We start from the raw sequence: 21062 nt of genomic DNA, 5'->3' as shown, positions 1-21062 counted from the left end.
ATTAGCTGGGTGTGGTGGCAGGTGCCTGTAATCCCAGCTACTCGGGAGGCTGAGGCATGAGAATCACTTGAACCAAGGAGGTGGAGGTTGCAGTGAGCTGAGATCACACCACTGTGCTCCAGCCTGGGCAAGAGTGAGACTCCGTCTCAAAAAACAAAAAACAAAACAAAAATTATTTTTTCTCTTCTTTTATGATACTGGTTTCTTGTCCTTTTAACACATATAAAATCTGTAGTGACATAACCACTCTCATTTGTAATATTGATAATTTGTATTGTTTCTTTTTTTCTGACCAGCCTAGCTAGAGGTTTATCAATTTTATTGATCTTCTCAAAGAACCAGCTTTGGGATTCACTGATTTTTGCCTAATGTTCTTCTGTTCCCATTTTATTGATCTCTGTTTTGATTTTTATTATTTCCTTTCTTCTACTTATTTTGTGTTTTACTGTTCTTTAAAGTGAAAGCTAATGCCATTGTTTTGAAACCTGTATATTATTTTCTAATACAAATGTTTAATTCTATAAAGTTTCCTTCAAGTACATTGTTAGCAGCATCTCTCTAATTTTGATATTTGTTTTCAGTTTCATTAATCCAAAATGCTTTCTAATTTCTCATTTTATTTTTTCTTTGGTCCATGGGCTGTGTAGAAAAACATTATTTAGTTTCCAAATATTTGGGGATTTCCCAGATATCTTTCTTTTATTGATTTTTAATTTCACAATGATCACAAAATATGCATTGCATGATGTGAATCCTTTTAAATTTATGGAGACTTGTTTTATGTTCCAGAATAGTCTATGTTGATAATGTTCCATGTACTCTTGAAATGAATGTGTATTCTTCTTTGATTGGGTGGAATAGTCCATAAGTGTCCATTAGGCCTAGCTGCTTGATAGTGTTCTTCAAATCCTAGTTATCCTAGCTCTTTATTCTTGTCTGTCTACTTGTCCTATCAATTATTGATAGAGAGGGATATTGAAATCTCGAAATGTAATTGTGCATGTGTTTATTCACCCCTGCATTTCAATAAGTCTTTGCTTCTTTTATTTTCAGCATTTGTTTCCTGTTGATATGGCTCTTTAAGTACTGTAAATTTACTTTCTTTAGTGTTGGCAAAATTCTTTGCCCTGGAATAGGCTTTGTCTGGTATTAATATCACGACTCCAGCTTTCTTTTGATTAGTGTTGTTAGAGCAATATACCTGCAATATATTTATGCATGCATGTAATATGCATGTAATATACACGCATGTAATATGCATGTAACATACATGCATGTGACATGCATGCAATATAACGCAATATGCATGGGATATACATATAATATGCACACAATATGCATGCATGTAATATACATGCCATATACATACAACACACATGTAACATACATGCAACATACATTTAGGTGATACACATGTAATGTGCATGTGTGATATGTATGACATTCATGTCATACATGCATGATACATGTGTGTGATATGCATGCATGCGGCATCCATGTAACATGCATGCAGCATGCTGCATGGGTGCAATATACATGCTATATACATGCAATGTACATACATGCGATATACATGTGTTCCTGAAATACATATACATGTAATATATTTTTAAGACTTGTAAAACACATGTAACGTGCATATTTGTTATGTGCATGTGCTGTACATGTGTGCAGTACGCATTTGATGTGCATGTTTTGCACGTATGTAATATACATGTGATATACATACGTGCAATGTGATATGCATGTGCTGTACATGTGCTGTACATGTAATGTACATGTATCATGTGCACATGCAATATAAATCTCATACACGCAAGGAACATGCAATGTACCATGTAATATACATGTAAGACATGTGACATGCATGTATGTAATAGACATGTAATACAAGCCTCTTAAAAATTTCCAATAATTATCTTCCAAAATAAGAAGCCCTTTACAAAGTTTTTTAAAATCAGCCTGGCCAACATGTAATAGGTATGTAATATAATATGGGTGCAATAACTGCATACATGCAACATACATGCAATGCACACAGATGTGATATGCATGTAATGCGATGCAGCATGCAGATATACATGACATATGCATGTAATGTGCATGCATGCAATATACATGCGCCATACACATGTGCAATATACATTTTATGCATGCATGTAACATGTAACATACCTGTAATGTGCATGTATTAACACATGCATGTGATAAAGGCACATGTCATGTGTATGCATGTAATATGCATGTGTGTGATATGCGTGTAATATGCATGTATGTAATATACATGCGTGCATGCATGTAATATGCTTCCATTCCATATGCCTGCAATATACAGGTAATATATAAAATGCACGCAATTTGCATGTAAGATGTAGGTAACTTTCATGTAATATTCATGTGTTATACATGTATTTAATATGCATGCATATAATATGCATGTAGTGTGCATGCATGTAATATACATGCATGTGTGCATGCATGTAATATACATGCATGATGTGTGCATGCATGTAATATACATGCATGATGTGTGCATGCATGTAATATATATGCATGATGTGTGCATGTAATATAGGCACATAGTGCACATGCATGTAATATGCATGCAATATGTTTTACATATGAGATACACATGCAGTATGACATCCATGCTACATACATGCATGTAATATGTGTGCAACATGCATGTAATATACATGCATATATGCATGGTATATGCATGCATGACATGCATGCAGCATATATGCATGTAATACAAATGTAATATGCATGTTTGCTATACACATGCAAAATACATAAATGCAATATACATGCGATATGCATGTGCTATGCATACATGTAATATGCAGGTGGCATGCATGTTTGCAATACACATGTGATGTGGCATGCATGCAATATGCATGTGGCGTGCATGTTCGCAATACACATGTGATATGTGTGTAACATGCGTGTGATATGCATGTTATACATACATTTAATATACCTGTGATATGCATGCCTGTAGCGCATGTGATATGCATGTAATATGCATGTGTTAAGCATGCATGTAATTTACACATAATGCACATGTAATTTGCATGCATGCTATATATAGATGATATGCTTGTAATATGTATGCAGGTAATATACATGTGATGCGCATGCATGTAATATGCATCTATGTGATTTACATGTAATAAGCATTCGTGTAGTGTATGCATGCAATACACATTTATGTGATATTCCTGTATGCGTGTAATATGCATACAATACACATGCATGCAATATGCAGTGTTATACATGTCATATATGCTTGCAATATGTGTGCAGTGCATGCGGCACACATGTAATATTCGTGCATGCAATATATGTGTATACTTGTGTGTAATATACATGCACACAATATTCATTTAAGTAACATACATGCAATATACATGCAAGTAATGCAAATACAGTATACCTGTGTGTAATATGCATGCATTACACATGCATGTGATACATGTGTGATGTGTATGCATGTAATGTACATGTAATATGCTTGTATGTGATATGCATGTGGTATGTATTATGCAATGTACATGTAATACGTTAATCTTAAATATTTTTCATAATGATCTTAACAAAATGAGAAGTCCTTTACAATGTTTTCCTAGATCAGCCTGGCCAACATGGCAAAACCCCATGTTTACTAAAAATACAAAAAAAACTAGTCAGGCGTGGTACTGCATGCCTGTAATCCCAGCTACTTGGGAGGCTGAGGCAAGAGAATCACTTGAACCCAGGAGGCAGAGGTTGTAGTTAGCCGAGATCGCACCACTGCACTCTAGCTGGGGTGACAGATCAAGACATTGTCTCAAAAAAAAAAAAAAAAATCCACACACACAAAAAAACAAAAAACTGATATAATGTCTTAATCATTTTTGCAGTTCTAATACTGAGCACAGATCTTGGCATGTGATAGATGTTAAGTAAATGCTAATGAACATTTTAGCTTTCAAATACTCTAGATATTTGATATACAAATATTGCTATGTAAGGATAAATTACGATAAGTACTTATTATAAATTCAGCTAATTAATATGAAATGGTAAGTTAATAAAAAATGTATGTACAGATTTAAAGAAATAATGTTACATGTAGCGAAACTATTTTGGACTTCCAGTCAGATGGGTTGTTTTCATCGCTTGTTCTGGCACTTTTATGTGAACTTGAGCAAATCACTTAACTATTCTAAGTTTCAGTGTTTTCATCTAAAAAATGTAGTAACTTTTCTAATAGAAATAACGTCAAATAATATGTGAACTGCCCTAACTGTGATGAGCAGGGTAGACATTCAAATGTTCACTCTGCTTCATCATTTCCAAAGATTTAAAAATTATGGCTACACTATAAATGTTATATTTTGTAGCAATACAATTCTCTAAAAGTAGTGGGACATATCTATTGCGACTTTTCATTTCATATCACTTAGAAATCATCTATAATGAGCAGAAAAGCTTCTGTCACATGATAAATATTACATTTATATTTGATAAATAGAAAATTTGCCTGCTTGAAATTTGATCTATTTGTGCATAGTGATGAATGTAAGTGAGAATATTTTCCAGTTACTTTGAAATATTGAACTGCCCTGGGACAAGGCATGGATAATGTTTTTGAAGGAAATAAATATTTCAGATTCACATTTCAGCCTTTTTTCTTTATTCCTTTGATCTGGCTTTGGTTTACTTATCATTCTGCTTGAGTGACTTCATACTGTCTTTCTTCCTCTCCTAATAACAAGAAGTGGTCCTCACCTATTCCAGAATATTTAGGTTTTGTCATTTTACAAGAATAACGTAATTTCCTTATTATATACTGATATAATACTACATCTGTAATGAAATACATTAGTGAGTTTGTATGTAAACTCTGCATATATGGTGTACAATTTATAAATGGAAGTTTTAATCATTTGTTAAATATAGGGACATAAACGAAAATAGCATCATATGTGGGATTTATTTTGAAGTTTAAAGAATTTAAAGATTTTAAAGGAATTTTTCTTCACCATAAACCATGACTGCTTTATCTTTAAGGATAATTTTCTCAATATTTTGTTAGTTTACCATAGAAGTATTACTTGCTTTTGTATTTGCTGAGCTAGAGTTTGTTTTATTTATGGACCCATATTACAGGCAGAAGTTAGTTTAGCATAAAATTATTACATAAACTTTAAACTGTTTAAAACTTTCATTAATTTTACTTATATACCTTTATTTCCTATCTTACACATAAATTTGATCCTCTGAGAATTGTTTCTTATATAGCCTCTTACTTCATTGTTACGTTCTTTGTATTCTTTTAGCACTTAAAATTTGTCACAAGATTTAATGTGTACGATATTGCATCATTTTATTTTTCTCCTTATATTTTCATCTTTTCCCTTAGTCAGATTATAGTTTTTGCAAGATAGGAACCATGTTTTACACTTCTTTTATGTTTTCTATAGTATTTGAATGAGCAGATCTTAGAATTTGCTGCCAGCACCCTTGTTTCTGCTCCCAGAACAAAACTAACTTACTGAGAATAAAGGCTACAAAGTTGATGCCAGAACTAGTTCTTTTGAATTATGATTCAAATCCAGTTGGCGTCATAGATTTATAGACGTCCTAGCTGACATCCATATCTTCTTAAGAGGTTTTTGAATTGTTTAAGAAGATTCTTCATTCCTATTTATAACTAACATGCTTCAACCAACAGGCATGGTTTTTTAAGACTGGTGTTTGACCCTGTGGGCAAGCTCTCTGGGTAAGCCTACATTGTTGACAATAAAAGGTCTTTGTCAGAATAGAGTTCTGTAGAACTTCTTTATGCTATTATCGTACCTGTTTCAAGCTTTTCCCTTAGTAGCGAGAGAATAATTTCTGATTTAGTGTTTTGGATCATCATAGTTTCATTGAGCTTATGAGAATAATCCATTCCTTGCCTTTTCCATCTTCTAGACACTGCCCCAGTTCCTTGGCTTGTGGCCCTGCATGCATTGATTATGTTGAATCTGTAGATCAATTTGGGAAGTATTACCATATATTCAATATTAAGACCAATACTAATTTTCATTTTACTGGGCATTTCTTTCTGACTGTTGAAGTATCAAATGTTTAGCTGTCTACAGGGTTTACCATTTTTAAACTAGAATTTAGCAGAGACTACTAGTTTTAGAAGTCAAGTGAAGAAGAGGCCAAAGCAGTTTATTCATCTGTCATGCTTATGAAAGTTGTTATTTTAAATATTTTTGAGTCATTCAATTTAATCAGTTTAAGTAACAACCAGCAGCCATGAATATAGGTGATATTGCCGCTTGTGAGTCTTGTTTTCCAGCCCAGCTGGAAAGGGCATGGGGACTCTTCTAGCTGTTTTTCAGACTTGTTTGAAGTTTCTTGTTTTGTGTTGTTTTTCTTGGAGTTTCCAGGGGAGATGCCAAGCTGGCAGGAAATGAAGTATACTGTAATGTGAAGCCTTATACATACATGTTGGGTTGCAGCCATCTTTATCAAATGTACTGGAACAGAAATGTGCAAAAGGAAGATTTTCAAATTAAGGTTCACCTGTACATATACATGTTAGCTTGTAAAGCTCAAAAATACTAAACTGTCATCCATTAGTTCCCTACATTTTATTGCCCTTTTTGGAATAATCATGTACTTCAGAACATCCTTTAATCTGAGCTGGCTTGTGGTTGTTTAACAATGCAGCTTCTTTTTTCTTTATCCTTTATATACTCAGATGAGGAAAATTTACTGCACTTTATGAATAAATCAGAGCTAAAAAGCAAATTTTCTTTCCACCTTTTTATCTTCATGGAGGCCCAGCTTTAAGGCATTTGAGTGATGCGTTTCTACTTGGCCCCACAACTAGTTCCACTGGGAAAAAAAAAATCTTCAGTCCTTTTTTCCTCCTTCTTTCAGGATGCACTATTGGGATCATGGTAAAAAGGAGCGCTGTTCCTGTGCTAGGAGCAGACCTTTGCCTGTTTCAAAGCTTCAGCATTTTCATTTCTGCTTCATTACCATGTAGAAATTAAAATGGATCTTTCCCTAAAATGATTATCACCTCTTTATTTGAATTGACAGATTTAATTTATATTAAGACAGAGGGGCCAGGTGCAGCGGCTTATGCCTGTAATCCCAGCTCTTTAGGAGACCGGGGTGGATCGCTTGAGTCCAGGAGTTTGAGACCAGCCTGGGCAACTTGACAAAACCCCATTTCTACAAAAAAGAAAAAAATTAGCCAGGGGTGGTGGCTTGCACCTATATTCCCAGCTACCCAGAGGCTGAGGTGGGAGGATCACCTGAGTCCAGGAGTTCAAGGCTGCAGTGAGCCCTGATTGTGCCACTGCACTCCAGCCTGGGCGACAGAGCAATACCCTGTCTCAAAGAAAAAAAAAAAAAAAAAAGGGGGCAGAAGGTTTCTAAATATTAGTGGAGCTCAATGTATTCATTATGGTTTTACTGGACAAGAACATTGAATTACATTGAATGAGGCCACTTTTGATATTTAGTGTTACTATTAGATTAGTTCAGACAGTATGGCGGGACTGGAAACCAGATTTTACATATTTCCCTGTGCTTATAATTGAGTATAAAACAATATTTGCTATTTGTAAATCAGGGTAGAAATGATCAATTGAAAACAATGTGCCTTATTGTGCAAGGTTTTCATATTTTAAAATGGCCTCTAATTATCTGACGGATAGCTAAAGTTTATGACTTTGATTTATGTGGTCATAAATTAGTTATAAAGTAAATGAACTAAGCTTAGTAGGTAAGAATGACATGTTATAGGGAAAAAGATTCATCCTATTAAATGAAAAGTGTTTAAATAGTTCATGTGAATTATTGCACAAATAATATAAAAAACTGACTTTCAACATAGATAGGACAAAGTTGCTATTTCAGCTATAGGTCATATATTTTTATAAAATGTGTTATCTTTCTTTTGGCTATTTAATGTTCCATAATTAAAAAGTAAGTGATATATAAACTTTTAAAGTTTTCAAATCATGTTCAATATACTTTCTTTTGTATTTATATACAAACTGACCAAAGGTAATCCTTTGATAAATGTTAATCTTAATTATAAAATGGTCTTCCCAAGTGCTTTTAGAAGGGCCTCAAAAATTAAAGAGGAACATAAACTAGTCACTATAATCTCTAAACGGTCATTGCACTGCCTAACCCCAGTGCCTTGTAAACAGTGCCACAGCACCCTTTCATCAACCACAGCACCCTTTCCCTCTGAGCTTGCTCTCAGAATCCTTTAAATAGTACATTCCAGGCAGCCCCTTCCAGTCAATTGGGACCACCACACCAGAGAGCATCTATTTGCCAAGCCAGGTCTAGACCATGGTACCCAATAACAATTTATATGACTTTATGTTGTTCCCATGTGCTGTTTTAGTATTTAGATATTTTTATATTCAAACAAATTATTCAATGTTTGTAGCAGGGAAATCCTACATACAACTTAAAGCCTCCTGTTCTTGAACAGAATAATATAGAAAGAGTGAAAATGCACCAGAACAATTTAAAATTCTTTATAGCCATCAGAGTGCTCAGTCTTTCATATAGTGGTGCCCCCAAAATCAGCCTTCAGTATGATATTCAGTTATTAATCACCATTATCTTTGAGCTAATATTCACATTAGGTGGCAAAAAAGCCTCACTAATGTTAGGACCTTAGAACTTAACAGCCAGTTAACATTAAGACCATTTTGCTTTAACAACATGTAAGAAACATGGTGAACAACAAGATACCCAGGTCCCAGTTCATTAAAGTAGACAAGTTGAAGAATAGCTTTTAAAAACTTCCAGAATCCTGTACCCCATTGCTGCAAAATGCAGTTACTGAGAGCCACATGTGGCATGCCTCATGACCTGGAATGGCTTAACTGTCATGCAGGGCATCACACACCTTGGGGCAGTATTAAACTCTGTAGGTCATAAAAATGGTGGCTACATCTGTAAAACAGACACATAAAGGAACAGGGATTTAGTGGAAAAACTGTTTTGTTTATCATGGGATTGCAATGATTATTGTCACCTTCAGGTAGATGGATACATGGGATATGAAAAGATAAATAGACACAAGGTGGTGTTTAAAATGACAAATAAACATGCACGATATGCTCTTTCAGCCTGTCAACAAAAATGTGCCTGTTTGCGGATCCCAAATACAGGGGTGGGGATGGGATATGGGTGCGAGGAGAGAACACACACACACACACACACACACACACACCCCTATCTATATCTATATCTATATCGATATCTATATATCTATATTGTTGATAACCTCATTGTAAAGGGACAAGAGAGTCTTGCTGAAGTAGAAATTAGGTGACACTTTTTTTCTTATCAGTCTTTTGACCACTTAAGCTTTGAAAGAGGTTTTCAATTTGGTGGGGGAGAGGGAGAAAGTTTGGTATTTTGATATATGATATGTACGTTCTTATTGAAAAGCCTAGAAATTTTTGTGTCTTAGAGTGGATTTTAAACTCAGATGAGTAACCTGGAAAAACTCGTATTACTTTTTGCCCAAGTCTTAAAAGATTGCATCATCTTGTTTTAGAAATGTCTTTTCTCCCCTTTATGATATTTCTCTAAAATTTGGTTTGAGTGAGTTAAATTACCCACCCCCGCCCAGCATCCTTCAGTGTTACAGCTAATAGTAAGAACATATTTTTCACTTGTGTAAGCTTTCCCATTTAGGGAAGGTGAGCTAAGTTAATCTTACCTGTGGCATCTGGAAGATCAGGAAAGCAGTGTGGCATAGCAGCCAACAACAGGAACTCTAGAAGCACACTTTCAGGACTGGAATCCTGGCTTGACCTGTTGTTACTCTAGGTGTGTAACCTTGGAAGTATTCTCTAAGCCCTAGTTTCCTGTTCTGTGTAAGTAAGGATGTAATAACACTCTTATACTGGTTTACTGTGAGAATAAATGAGAGAAGACATAAACTTCTGTATTAGTCCATTTTCACACTGCTGATAAAGACATACTGGAGACTTGGCAATTTTCAAAAGAGGTTTAATGGACTTACAGTTCCACGTGGCTGGGGAGGCCTCACAATCATGGCGGAAGGCAAGGAGGAGCAAGTCACATCTTACATGGATGGCGGCAGGCAAAAAGAGAGCTTGTGCAGGGGAACTCCTCTTGTTAAAACCATCAGATCTCATTAGACTCACTATCATGAGAACAGCATGGGAAAGACCTGCCCCCATGATTCAGTTATCTCCCACTGGGTCCCTCCCACAACACGTGGGAATTATGGGAGCTACAAGATTAGATGTGGGTGGGGACACAGAGCCAAACCATATAAAATTCCATTGCACAATACCCAGCGCCTAGTTAGAATTCAAAGTTAACTATTGTTAAATGGCATGCATTTATAAACTGAAGGCTTTAATTTTTTCTTCTATCAACATGCAAAGATTCCTTTTGTTTTGTTGGACCCTTTCAGCTATATAGTTTCCGCCTAAGGTATGAAGAAATGAGATGGTTATCAGTTCTTTTAGGCAATCTGCTAGAAGGCAGTAAAATAATTTTAGGCCATCATGTTTCTCTGTTGCATTGACTTCACTGCAGATTAACTTCTGGTAGACATACATCTTTCTATTTGTACATTGTTTTAAAAAAAAAACATGAGATATAATTCACATACCATAAAATTCACTCCTTTGAAGTGTATAGTTTGGTGGATATTAGTATATTCACAAGGATGTGCAACCATCACCACTATCTAATTCCAGAACATTTTCATATTTTCCTCATTTCATATCCCTTGGCAATCACTCCCTATTTCCCCAGCCTCTCAGACCCTAGCAACTACTAAGGTACTTTCTGTCTCCATGGATTTACCTATTCTGGAAATTTCATATAAATGGAATCATACAATATGTAACTTTTTGTGACTGGCTTCTTTCACTTAGCTGAATGTTTTTAAGGTTCATCCATGTTGTAGCAGGTATCAGAACTTCATTCCTTTTTAAGAATGACTAATATCCCATTGGATAGCTATTCCACATTTTGTTTATTCATTCATCACTTGATGGAGACACATGGTTTTACTCAGTTTTGTTTTTAGAGAAATCTTTGAAAGCAGTTTTGCCTTCATCAGAATACACAATATATGTTTATACCCTTTTTCTCTTGAGACAAATTAGTTTATTGTCAAATTTCTAAAGGGAAGTTTTGTAGGATTTGGATCAAAAAAATTAAAATCTGGATTTTATTTTAGAGGGGGTTAAATATTGTTCTTTCATTCAGGCCTAGCTCTTTTATATTTTAACTCTGAAGCTTCTCTGAACCTTTCTAGGGAAAAAGAGGAGCAGCTAACTCGTGTGACTGAAGTTCAGAGGTTGCAGGCCCAGCAGGCAGATGCCGCTCTGGAAGAGTTTAAGCGGCAGGTGGAACTGAACTCAGAGAAAGTCTATGCTGAAATGAAAGAGCAGGTAAGGAGGCTGCCACACCATCCCTTTTGAAAGTCACTCTCTCAGTAGGAAGGTACATTCTCATCTTAAATATGACAGAAACATTTCACTTTTTAAAAGAGCTGTATCAAAATTAGCCATACAATCGGGTCAGAGATTCAGAATGAGAAAGAGATGTTACCACTTGATTCATCCTTCAAGCAATGCCAGAATGATCATTTAAAAGTCCCCTGTATAAATGTAGTAATGGCAAGCATGTACCTTGCTTTGGAAGGATAGATAATCCTAAGAGAAAAATCCCATGACTGATCAGTTTCTTTAGAGCAGGGGCTCCAGTTAACCATGTCTGTGTTTCTTCATGTTCTATAAATAGTGTCTTATTGATCAGCTACAGCAAATTATTTTCAACTGGCAGTTGTGAAGAACAAAGGCTGTCTCCAATTCTTATATAAGATGGGTAGTTTTTTTTTTTTTAGTTTTTAAAGAAAATACAAAATTTGTAAAAGAATAAAGGGAATTATTACAAACACCTGGGTACCCATCGCAAAGATGCAATAATTGTTAACGTGGTTTATATAAACTAAAAAATTCAGGTGAAGTTTTAGTTTACTTTGTTTTCATGTCTAATCACATTATTCTTTCTTCCCTGGAGAAATCCATTATAATTAATTGAGTGTATACAGTCAGCCCTCTGTATCCATGTGTTTTTGTATCTGTGGGTTCTGCCTCCACAGATTCAACCAACCATGGATCGAAAATATTTGGAAAAATTTGACAATGCTCCAAAAAGTAAAACTTGAATTTGCCATGTGCAGAGGACTGTGTTGAATCCATGTGATAGAAGTGACATGTAGATGTTGTATTAGGTATTAGAAGTAATCTAGCAATGATAAAGTACACAGGAGGATGTGCCCAGGTTGTATGGAAGTACTAGACCATTTTATATGAGGAACTTGACTGTCTGTGGATTTTGGTATCTGGAGGGGGTTCTGGAACCAATCACCCATGGATACTGGAGATGGCTGCATTATTTCAGTTTATTTTATATGCATACATAATGCCCATAGATAATATGTATGTATATATTATTTATGCATTAATATGTTACAGGCATAAATGTTTTTTTGTTTTTTTAAAAATTATATAAATATGAACAGATTTTAAGTACTATTTCTGTTTGCCCTTTTATATCTAATATTATGTATCTGTGTGCTAACCATGCTGTTTTAGTACAATCTTTTTAACACTAAATTTATTTTATCATATGAATATAGTATATTTTATCAGCTCCCCTACTCAAGCATATTTAGTTTTTTTCAGTTTTTCCTGATTATAAAGAATGTTTCAATACTCACTTATTATTTTACACTATAGTTATCTTCCTTAGGAGTCCCAAGCACACACTGGGTGGGAGAAATGTGCCTAAGGAAGGTTTCATGTTTGAATCTGACTGAGGATTGAGCCCTGTGTTACGGGATCCCTAGGGTGTCACTTTTTTGGCCAGAAACCTCTGTGGCTAGTGGCACCTTTGCCTGAGTTTTGCTAAGGCCCACTGGGCTCATTCCACCCACTCAGCCTGATACGCTGCTCTTGGCTCAGGCTACTGCCTGTATCCAACACCTGCCAAGGGTGAGTTAGGCATGGAGCAGCAAGGGGTATGTGAGCAAGCATGGGGTCTGGCCGCTGTGCAGTCAGGTATGCCACCTGCTGCAGTGGGTGGGCAGCTCCAGGTGCCAGCATGGGTGTCAGCTCTCTGTGAGGCTGTGGCTGGACCAGGTATACTGCAAGCAGCTTCCACAACTGTCACTGGGGAATGTGGTGGCACCTGGAAGCTTGGAGATGCCAGGAACCACAGGAACCCAAGGAGGAGCCAAGAACCACACGAACCCAAAGAGGAAGTCATAGCCCTGGCTCGGGAGCGCCCAGGTCTGGGGCTGTAGCTCTTCTCTCCTTCTCTTTGCCTTCAACAAGGCGAGCAAGGAGCATGTTTCAGCCCTGTTTTTGTTGCAGCTCTTTTAGCCCTGCCATTCGACAGGTCCTGAGTTCTTGTCCTGCGACTAGGAAAAATGAGGTATGCAGACAAGTGGAGGGTAAGCAAGACAAAGAGGAGCTTCATTGAGCAATAGAACAGCTCAGAGACACATAGTGGGTAGCTCCTTTCTGCAGCCAGGGTGTCCCAGTGAGTGTTCAGCTCCTAGCAGAGAGGAGACCCTGGAGTGGTAAACCCGTCTCTGCAGACAGGTAGTCCCATCATCTCTGCAGCTCTCAGCAGAGAGGAGGCCCTAGAGTGGGTTACTCCTCTCTGTAGGCAGGTCCTCCTCTCATCTCCCCAGCTCTCAGTAGAGAGGAGGCCATGGAGTGGGTTGCTCCTATCTGCAGCTGGTGGTCCCGATGTCTCTGCAGCCCTCAGCAGAGAGTAGGCCCTGGGATGAGTTGCTCCTCTCTGCAGCTGGTTGTCCTGACATCTGCAGCTCTTAGGAGAGAGGAGGCCCTGGAGTTGGTAGCTCCCCTCTGCAGCTGGTTGTCCCCACATCTGCTCTTCTCTGGCTGAGCCTGGGGCTTTTATGTGCCTCAGAGGGGAGGAAGTGCACACTGATTGGTCCATGGGTGGCCATGGGGAGGCCCAGAAAAGGCACCACGAGTTCCCACTCCAGTCTGTGGGACTTGCAGCCAGGCCTCCCAGCCTTCAGGCCCTCCCTGGCCTGAAGGTGAGGCCTCACTAGGGACCCATCCCCTTATGAGCAGGAGTCTGTCTGCCCCCTGCTGCTGTTCATGGTGCCCAGGCTGTAGGTGTCAAGGGTTGCCTGCAGGCCAGCATTGAGCTGCCATCAGCACCCACTTGGCTTCCCTCCTATGCTCATTGGCAGCCAAAGTCCAGAGGTGGCTGAGGCAGCAGGGGGCTGGCATGCGACAGCACCCAGGCTCAGCCCTAACTTTGCTCCAACATTGGAGTGGGCACGGACAGCAAGGAGAAACCAGACAGCAGGAGCAAGCACTTCTGAGCCAGCTAGGGCAGCAGGGACCTTCCCCAACCCCCAGGAGTACAGAAATGCCTGGATCCACAGCTATGGTATGGTAGGCTGAAACTGCACCATTCATGTTACATATAATGTAATGCGTGTAATATACATGTATGTAATATGCATGCAGTAAAAAAAAGTGGTGATTCCATTTTATACACAACCAAGGAGTTTTTTGCTTACAAAAACAATAGGAAAGCATGTTCTTATATATAAGAGCTCATATAATATATACCACATTTTTCTGGAAAAAATTTGTATGAATACATGAACCAATCCAGAAATGAAGCATAAGACTTCCCACACATAAGGAAACCATCATATGAAAGGATGAGTAGAGAAACCTGGAACCCCAAAGAAGTAGAAACAAATTTAAATAATTGTTACAAATCTACTTAAGAATAGAATTCTAATATTAATTGATTTTTTGAAAAGGAAGGTATATAAAACAGAAAATACAAATGTATTAACAACTTGAATTTGTATCCCTAGATTACATTAACAAGGATCAAAAGTAGATGAATAGCAAGAGTTGGAGAAGCAAAATATACTAAAACTCTTTGTCATAAATATGTGAGACTCATAAGATTCTTAAAATTAGGGAAATGTAGGTAAAAATAATTTTGTAATGTTTAAATATGAGCATTAATAAAATTAACAAGTTGTACATTCTCATAAAAGTCTTGAAAAGTTAAAAAGCAAAGCTTGAGAGGAGAGGCTGCCAAAGGAACAGAAGCAGAAATACAACAAAATGTCCAAAATAAGATAGAGTATATAATTGTAATAATAAACATTAATAGGTTAAATTTTTCTAGTAAAATGGTATTGATTAGAAGACTGAAATCCATAAATATACTATTTATAAAACTAATAACTAAAATAAAGTTAACACAAAAGTTAGAATAAATGGATGATGAAAATATATCACTTATATTCAGAAAAAAAGGAAAGTAGGATTGTAACACTATCATACAAATTAAATCAATACAAGTCAATAAACTGGACAAAGGGATATATTTTTGCATGCTAAAGGCAAGAGTACTCAATCGAAATATGAAAAGATGTTAGGAACACATGGAGAAATGGACATAGATAGTCATGGGATGTTTTCATATATTTTTCTCCATCTCTGACAGGTCAATGGGTAAAATCCAAATGGGGTGTAACTAACAAATTATATGACAGCTATATTTTGACTTTTTCTTTTTTAGCGTTTTATTTTTTTACGTTTACTTTTGTAGATATATGTTTCCATTTTATTCCAATAAGTACAGTAGTCCCACCTTATCCAAAGTTTCACTTTCCATGGTTTCAGTTACCTTCCATCAACCACAGTCCAAAAATATTAAATGGAAAATTCCAGAAATAAAGAATTCATAAGGTTTACATTGTGCACTGTTCTTAGTAACATGATGAAATCTCATGCCGTCCTGCTCTGTCCTACCCAAGGCATGACTCATCCTTTTATCCAGCATATCCATGCTGTATACCCTACCTGCCCTATACAATGCAGCTATATAGCAAAAACCATAGTGCATATAGGGTTTGTTACTATCCAAAGTTCAGACATCCACTGAGGGTCTTAGAACATATAAGGAGGGACTACTGTACCTAGGAGTGGAATAGCTGATCAAGTTTAACATTTTTATTTTTATGTATATATTTTTAAATTTTTTATTTTTTTATTTCAATAGGTTTTTGGGGCACAGGTGGTGCTTGGTTACATGAATAATTTCTTTAGTGGTGATTACTGAGATTTTGGTGCACCCATCACCCTAGCGGTGTATACTGTATTCAATGTATAGTCTTTTAACCCTCACCTCCCCCACCCAAAGTCTTCCCCCTGAGTCCCCAGAGTTTATTGTATCATTCTTATGTGTTTGTGTCTTCATACCTTAGCTCCCACTTATGAGTAAGAACATACGATGTTTGGTTTTCCATTGATTTAGAATAATGGTCTCCAGTAACATCCAGGTTGATGTGAATGCCATTATTTTGTTCCTTCTTATGACCAAGTAGTATTCCATGGTGTGTGTGTGTGTGTGTGTGTGTGTATGTATGTATGTATATATATCATAATTTCTTTATCCACTCGTTGACTTACGGGCATTTGGGCTGGTTCCATATTTTTGCAATTACAAATTGTGCTGCTATAAACATGCATGTGCAAGTATCTTTTTCATATAATGACTTCTTTTCCTCTGGGTAGACACCTAGAAGTGGGATTGCTGAATCAAATGGTAGATCTACTTTTAGTTCTTTAAGGAATCTCTACAGTGTTTTCCATAGTGGTTGTACTACTTTACATTCCCACCAGTATTTGATATAATTTCGATTTTCTTAAATTTACTGAGACTCGTTTTGTGGCCTGTTATGGTCTATCTTGGGGAATGTTCCATGTCCTTCTGAATAGAATGTATATTCTGCAGTTGTTGGGTAGAATGTTCTGTAAATATCTGTTAAGTCCATTTGTTGTAGGGTATAGTTTAAGTTCATTGTTCTTGTTGACTTTCTGTCTTGATGACCTGTGTAGTGCTGTCAGTGGAGTATTAAACTCCCCCACTATTATTGCATTGCCACCTGTCTCATTTCTTAGGTCTAGTAGTAATTGTTTTATACATTTGGGAGCTCCAGTGTTAGGTGCATTCATATTTAGAATTGTGATATTTTCCTGTTGGACTAGTCCTTTTACCATTATATAATGTCCCTGTTTGTCTTCTTTAACTGCAGTTGCTTTAAAGTTTGTTTTGTCTGATATAAGAATAGCTACTCCTGCTCGCTTTTGGTGTTTATTTACATGGAATATCTTTTTCTACCCCTTTACTGTAAGTTTATGTGAGTCCTTATGTGTTAGGTGAGTCTACTGATGACAGCAGAAATTTGGTTGGTGAATTCTTATCGATTCTGCCATTCTGTATCTTTTAGGTGGTGCATTTAGGCCATTTACATTCAATGTTAGTATTGAGATGTGAGGTATTATTCTATTCATCGTGCCATTTGTTGCCTGAATACCTACTGTTTTTTAATTATGTTATTGTTATATAGGTCCTGTGAGATTTATGCTTTGGTGTATTTAGAGGATTTGTTTGAAGATTTAGAACACCTTTTAGCAGTTCATTTAGTGGTGGCTTTGTATTGGCGAATTCTCTCCGCATTTGTTTTCTGGAAAAGACTATGTCTTTTCTTCATTTATAAAGCTTACTTTCGCTGGATACAAAATTCTTGGCTAATAATTGTTTTGTTTAAGGAAACTAAAAATAAGACCCCACTCCTTGCCAGCTTTTAGGGTTTCTGCCAAGAAGTCTGCTGTTAATTTGATAGGTTTACCTTTCTAGGCTACCTGATACTTTTGGCTCACAGCCCTTAAGATTCTTTCCTTTGTCTTGACTTTAGATAACGTGATGACTATGTGCCTAGGCGATGATCTTTTTGTGATGAATTTCCCATGTGTTCTTTGTGCTTCTTGTATTTGCATGTCTAGGCCTTTAGCAAGGCTGGGGAAGTTTTCCTAAATTATTCCCTCAAATATGTTTTCCAAACTTTTAGCTTTCTCATCTTCCTCAGGAACACCAATTATTCTTAGGTTTGGATGTTTAACTTAGTCCCAAACTTCTAGGAGGCTTTGTTCATTTCTTAAAAATCTTTTTTCTTCATCTTTGATGGATTGGGTTAATTTGAAAGCCTTGTCTTTGAGCTCTGAGGTTCTTTCTTCTGCTTGTTCAATTCTATTACTGAGATTTTCCAGTGCATTTTGCATTTCTCTGAGTGTGTCCTTGATTTCCAGACATTATGATTGTTTTTTATATATGCTGTCTATTTCACTGAAGAACTCTTCTTTTGTATTCTGTATCATGTTTTTGATTTCTTTATGTTGAACCTCACCTTTCTCTGATGCCTCCTTGATTCGCTTAATAATTGACCTTCTGAATTCTTTTTCTGGCAATTCAGAGATTTCATCTTGGCTTGGATCCATTGCTGGTGAGGTGGTATGATCTCTTGGAGGAGTTAAAGAATCTTGTTTTGTCATATTACCAGAATTTTTTTTCTGGTTCCTTCTTATTTGGGTAGACTATGTCAGAGGGAAGATCTGGGGTTTGCTGCTGTTCAGATTCTTTTGTCCTATGGGGTGCTCCCTTGATGTGGTGATTTGGAATGAGGCTCCCCCTTCCCCTAGGAATGAGGCTTCCTAAGAGCGGAGCTATAGTGATTGTTCTTGTTTTTCTGGGTCTAGCCACCCAGTGGAGCTACCAGGCTGTGGGTTGGTACTGGGGAGTGTCTGCAAAGAGTCCTGTGATATGATCTGTCTTTACGTCTTGTAGCCATGGATACCAGGACCTGCTCTGGTGGAAATAGCAGGGGAGTGAAGTGGACTCTGTGAGGGTTCTTGGTTGTGTTTTTGTTTAGTGCGCTGGTTTTGTGTTGTTTGGCCTCCAGCCGGGAGGTGGCACTTCAAGAGTGCGTCAGCTATGGTCCTATAGGGAGGATGCAAACTTGCCCTAGGGACACCGGCTTAAGTATTCAGTTTTCTCAGACAGTGGACAGGGCCATAGAGCTCACAAAAGATTACGATTTTTGTCTTCTGATACCAGGGTAGGCAGAGAAAGACCACTAGGTGGGGGCAGCAATAGGCATGTCTGAGCTCAGCCTCTCCTTGTGTGGGGCTGGCTGTTACTGCTGCGGGGGATGGGAGTGTGGTTCCCAGTCGAGTGGAGTTATATTTCCAGGGGGATTATGGCTGCCTCTAGTGAGCCATACAGGTCACCAGGGAAGTAGGGGAAAGCCAGCAGTCAAGGCCTCACCCTGCTCCCACACAGCCCTCAGTCCTGAAGGCCTGTCTGACTCCCACTGTGTCCTTCCAACAGCACCGAGTCTATTTCCAGGCAACTGGCAATCAGGGTTGAGAACTTGCCCCAGATCACGAGCCTCCCATTGAGAAAGCAAGCAGACTCTCAGTGTTTTGTTGTCTCAGGGAGCCTGCAGCAGTGATGTGATCCAGTTCTTTCAAAGGGTCTGTGGATTCTCTCAGCTTTCCTGCTATGTTCCTGTAGTAGTTCTTGGAGCCAAAGTTCACGATGTGAGTCTCCATACACTTCTCTGGCCATCGGAGAGGAGCTGCAAGCTAGTCCTGCCTCCTGTCTGCCATCTTAATCTGTATTTCAACTTTCTACCATTTGACACTACATATTAAATCTCTGTTCTCATAAAACAGTTAAAAGACTTAGTAGACTGTAAGGGAACCCTCAGTATATTTCTAAAACTTAACATGTCTGAGAACACATATTTCTTACCACAATGCAATTAAACTAGAAATTAAATTTCAGTTAAGATTGCTACATTGGACTTCACCAAAACTAAAAACTTTTGCTCTTTGAAAGACATCATTAAAAAAACAAAAACAAGGCAAACCAGAAAATGGAAGACAAGGCTTACAATACATGTATTTCGAAGAACTTGCATCTAAAATGTAAAAGAAATCTTAGAACTCAATAATAAAAAGACAATCCAATTAAAAACAGGCAAAAGATTTGAACAGGCACTTCACAAAAGAAGATATACAAATGACTAATAACCACATGAAAAGATGCTCAATATCATCATCATTCATCAAGGAAATGCAAATTAAAAACCAAAATGAGATGCTACTACACGTTCATTAGAATGACTAAGATGATAAAGACTGGCTGACAATACCAAGTGCTGACAAAGTTGTGGTGCAATTGAAGCTCTTATACACTGCTGATGGGTACATAAAATAGTATAGCCACATTAGAAAACTGCCAATTTTCTTAAAATGTTAAATACACAATGACCATATATGTCAGTCATTCCATTCCTATGTATTTACCAAAGAGAAATAAAGACATGTCTAGACAAAGACTATTGCACAAATACTGACAGCAGATTTGTTCATAAAAGCTCAAAACTTGGGCAACCAAAATATTCCTCAGAAGGTGAAAGGATAAATGAAATGTGGTATGTACAATGAAATATTACTCAGCAGTGAAAAGGAATGAATTATTGATACAACAGCATGGATGGATCTCAAAATCCTGCTGAATGAAAGAATATGCAAGCAGAAGAGTATATACTGAGTGTTTTTTATTCTCTGAGTCCTGTTAGAATTCCCAGTTCTTTTCAGTGAGAAAGTCTTGTCTCATCTTCTGTGGGTGGATTCCAGCTTCAGTTGTTTCACAGTCTTTGCTGTGCTCCTTTGGATCTGTTTGTACTTATGCCACTTATGGGTAAGTCTGAGACTTGGGTGATGATTTAAATCACCCCACCCAATGACTGCAGGCACTCATGGAACATTCTCCAGGATAGCCATATGCTTGGATACAAGACAAGTCTCAAATTTAAAAGGATGGAAATACAAAGTGTGTTCTTTGACCTCAACAATAATAAATTAGAAGTAAACAACAAAAGAAAATCTGGGAAATCCTCACATATTTGGAAAGTAAATAACCCACTTTTAAATAACTAATGGGTCAAAGAAGGTATTACAAGGGAAATTAGAAAATATTTTAAGCTGAATGGAAACAAAAATATGGCATATCAAGATTTATGGAATGCAGCTAAAAGCAGTGCTTAGAGA

The 21062-nt window shown here is 37.2% G+C and overlaps 1 protein-coding gene across 22 annotated transcripts in view; it reads left to right on the top strand.

Annotated features, from left to right (window-relative positions):
* CEP112 (centrosomal protein 112) overlaps window positions 1-21062 on the top strand; it is a 556597-nt gene that overhangs the window by 219200 nt on the left and 316335 nt on the right. For all 22 annotated transcript variants that reach the window (XR_007065281.1, XR_007065280.1, XR_007065282.1 and 19 more), the window contains one exon: window positions 11336-11471. Coding sequence is in view for 19 of the 22 variants with exons in the window: in NM_001353128.2 (NP_001340057.1) it covers window positions 11336-11471 (136 nt within the window). In the remaining 3 variants the exon portion in view is untranslated. The remainder of the gene's footprint in view (window positions 1-11335; window positions 11472-21062) is intronic.

Source organism: Homo sapiens, chromosome 17, assembly GCF_000001405.40.
Source record: "Homo sapiens chromosome 17, GRCh38.p14 Primary Assembly".
NCBI lineage: Eukaryota > Metazoa > Chordata > Mammalia > Primates > Hominidae > Homo > Homo sapiens.
The sequence above is the reverse complement of the archived record's forward strand: the minus strand, read 5'-3'. Positions and strand labels throughout refer to the sequence as shown.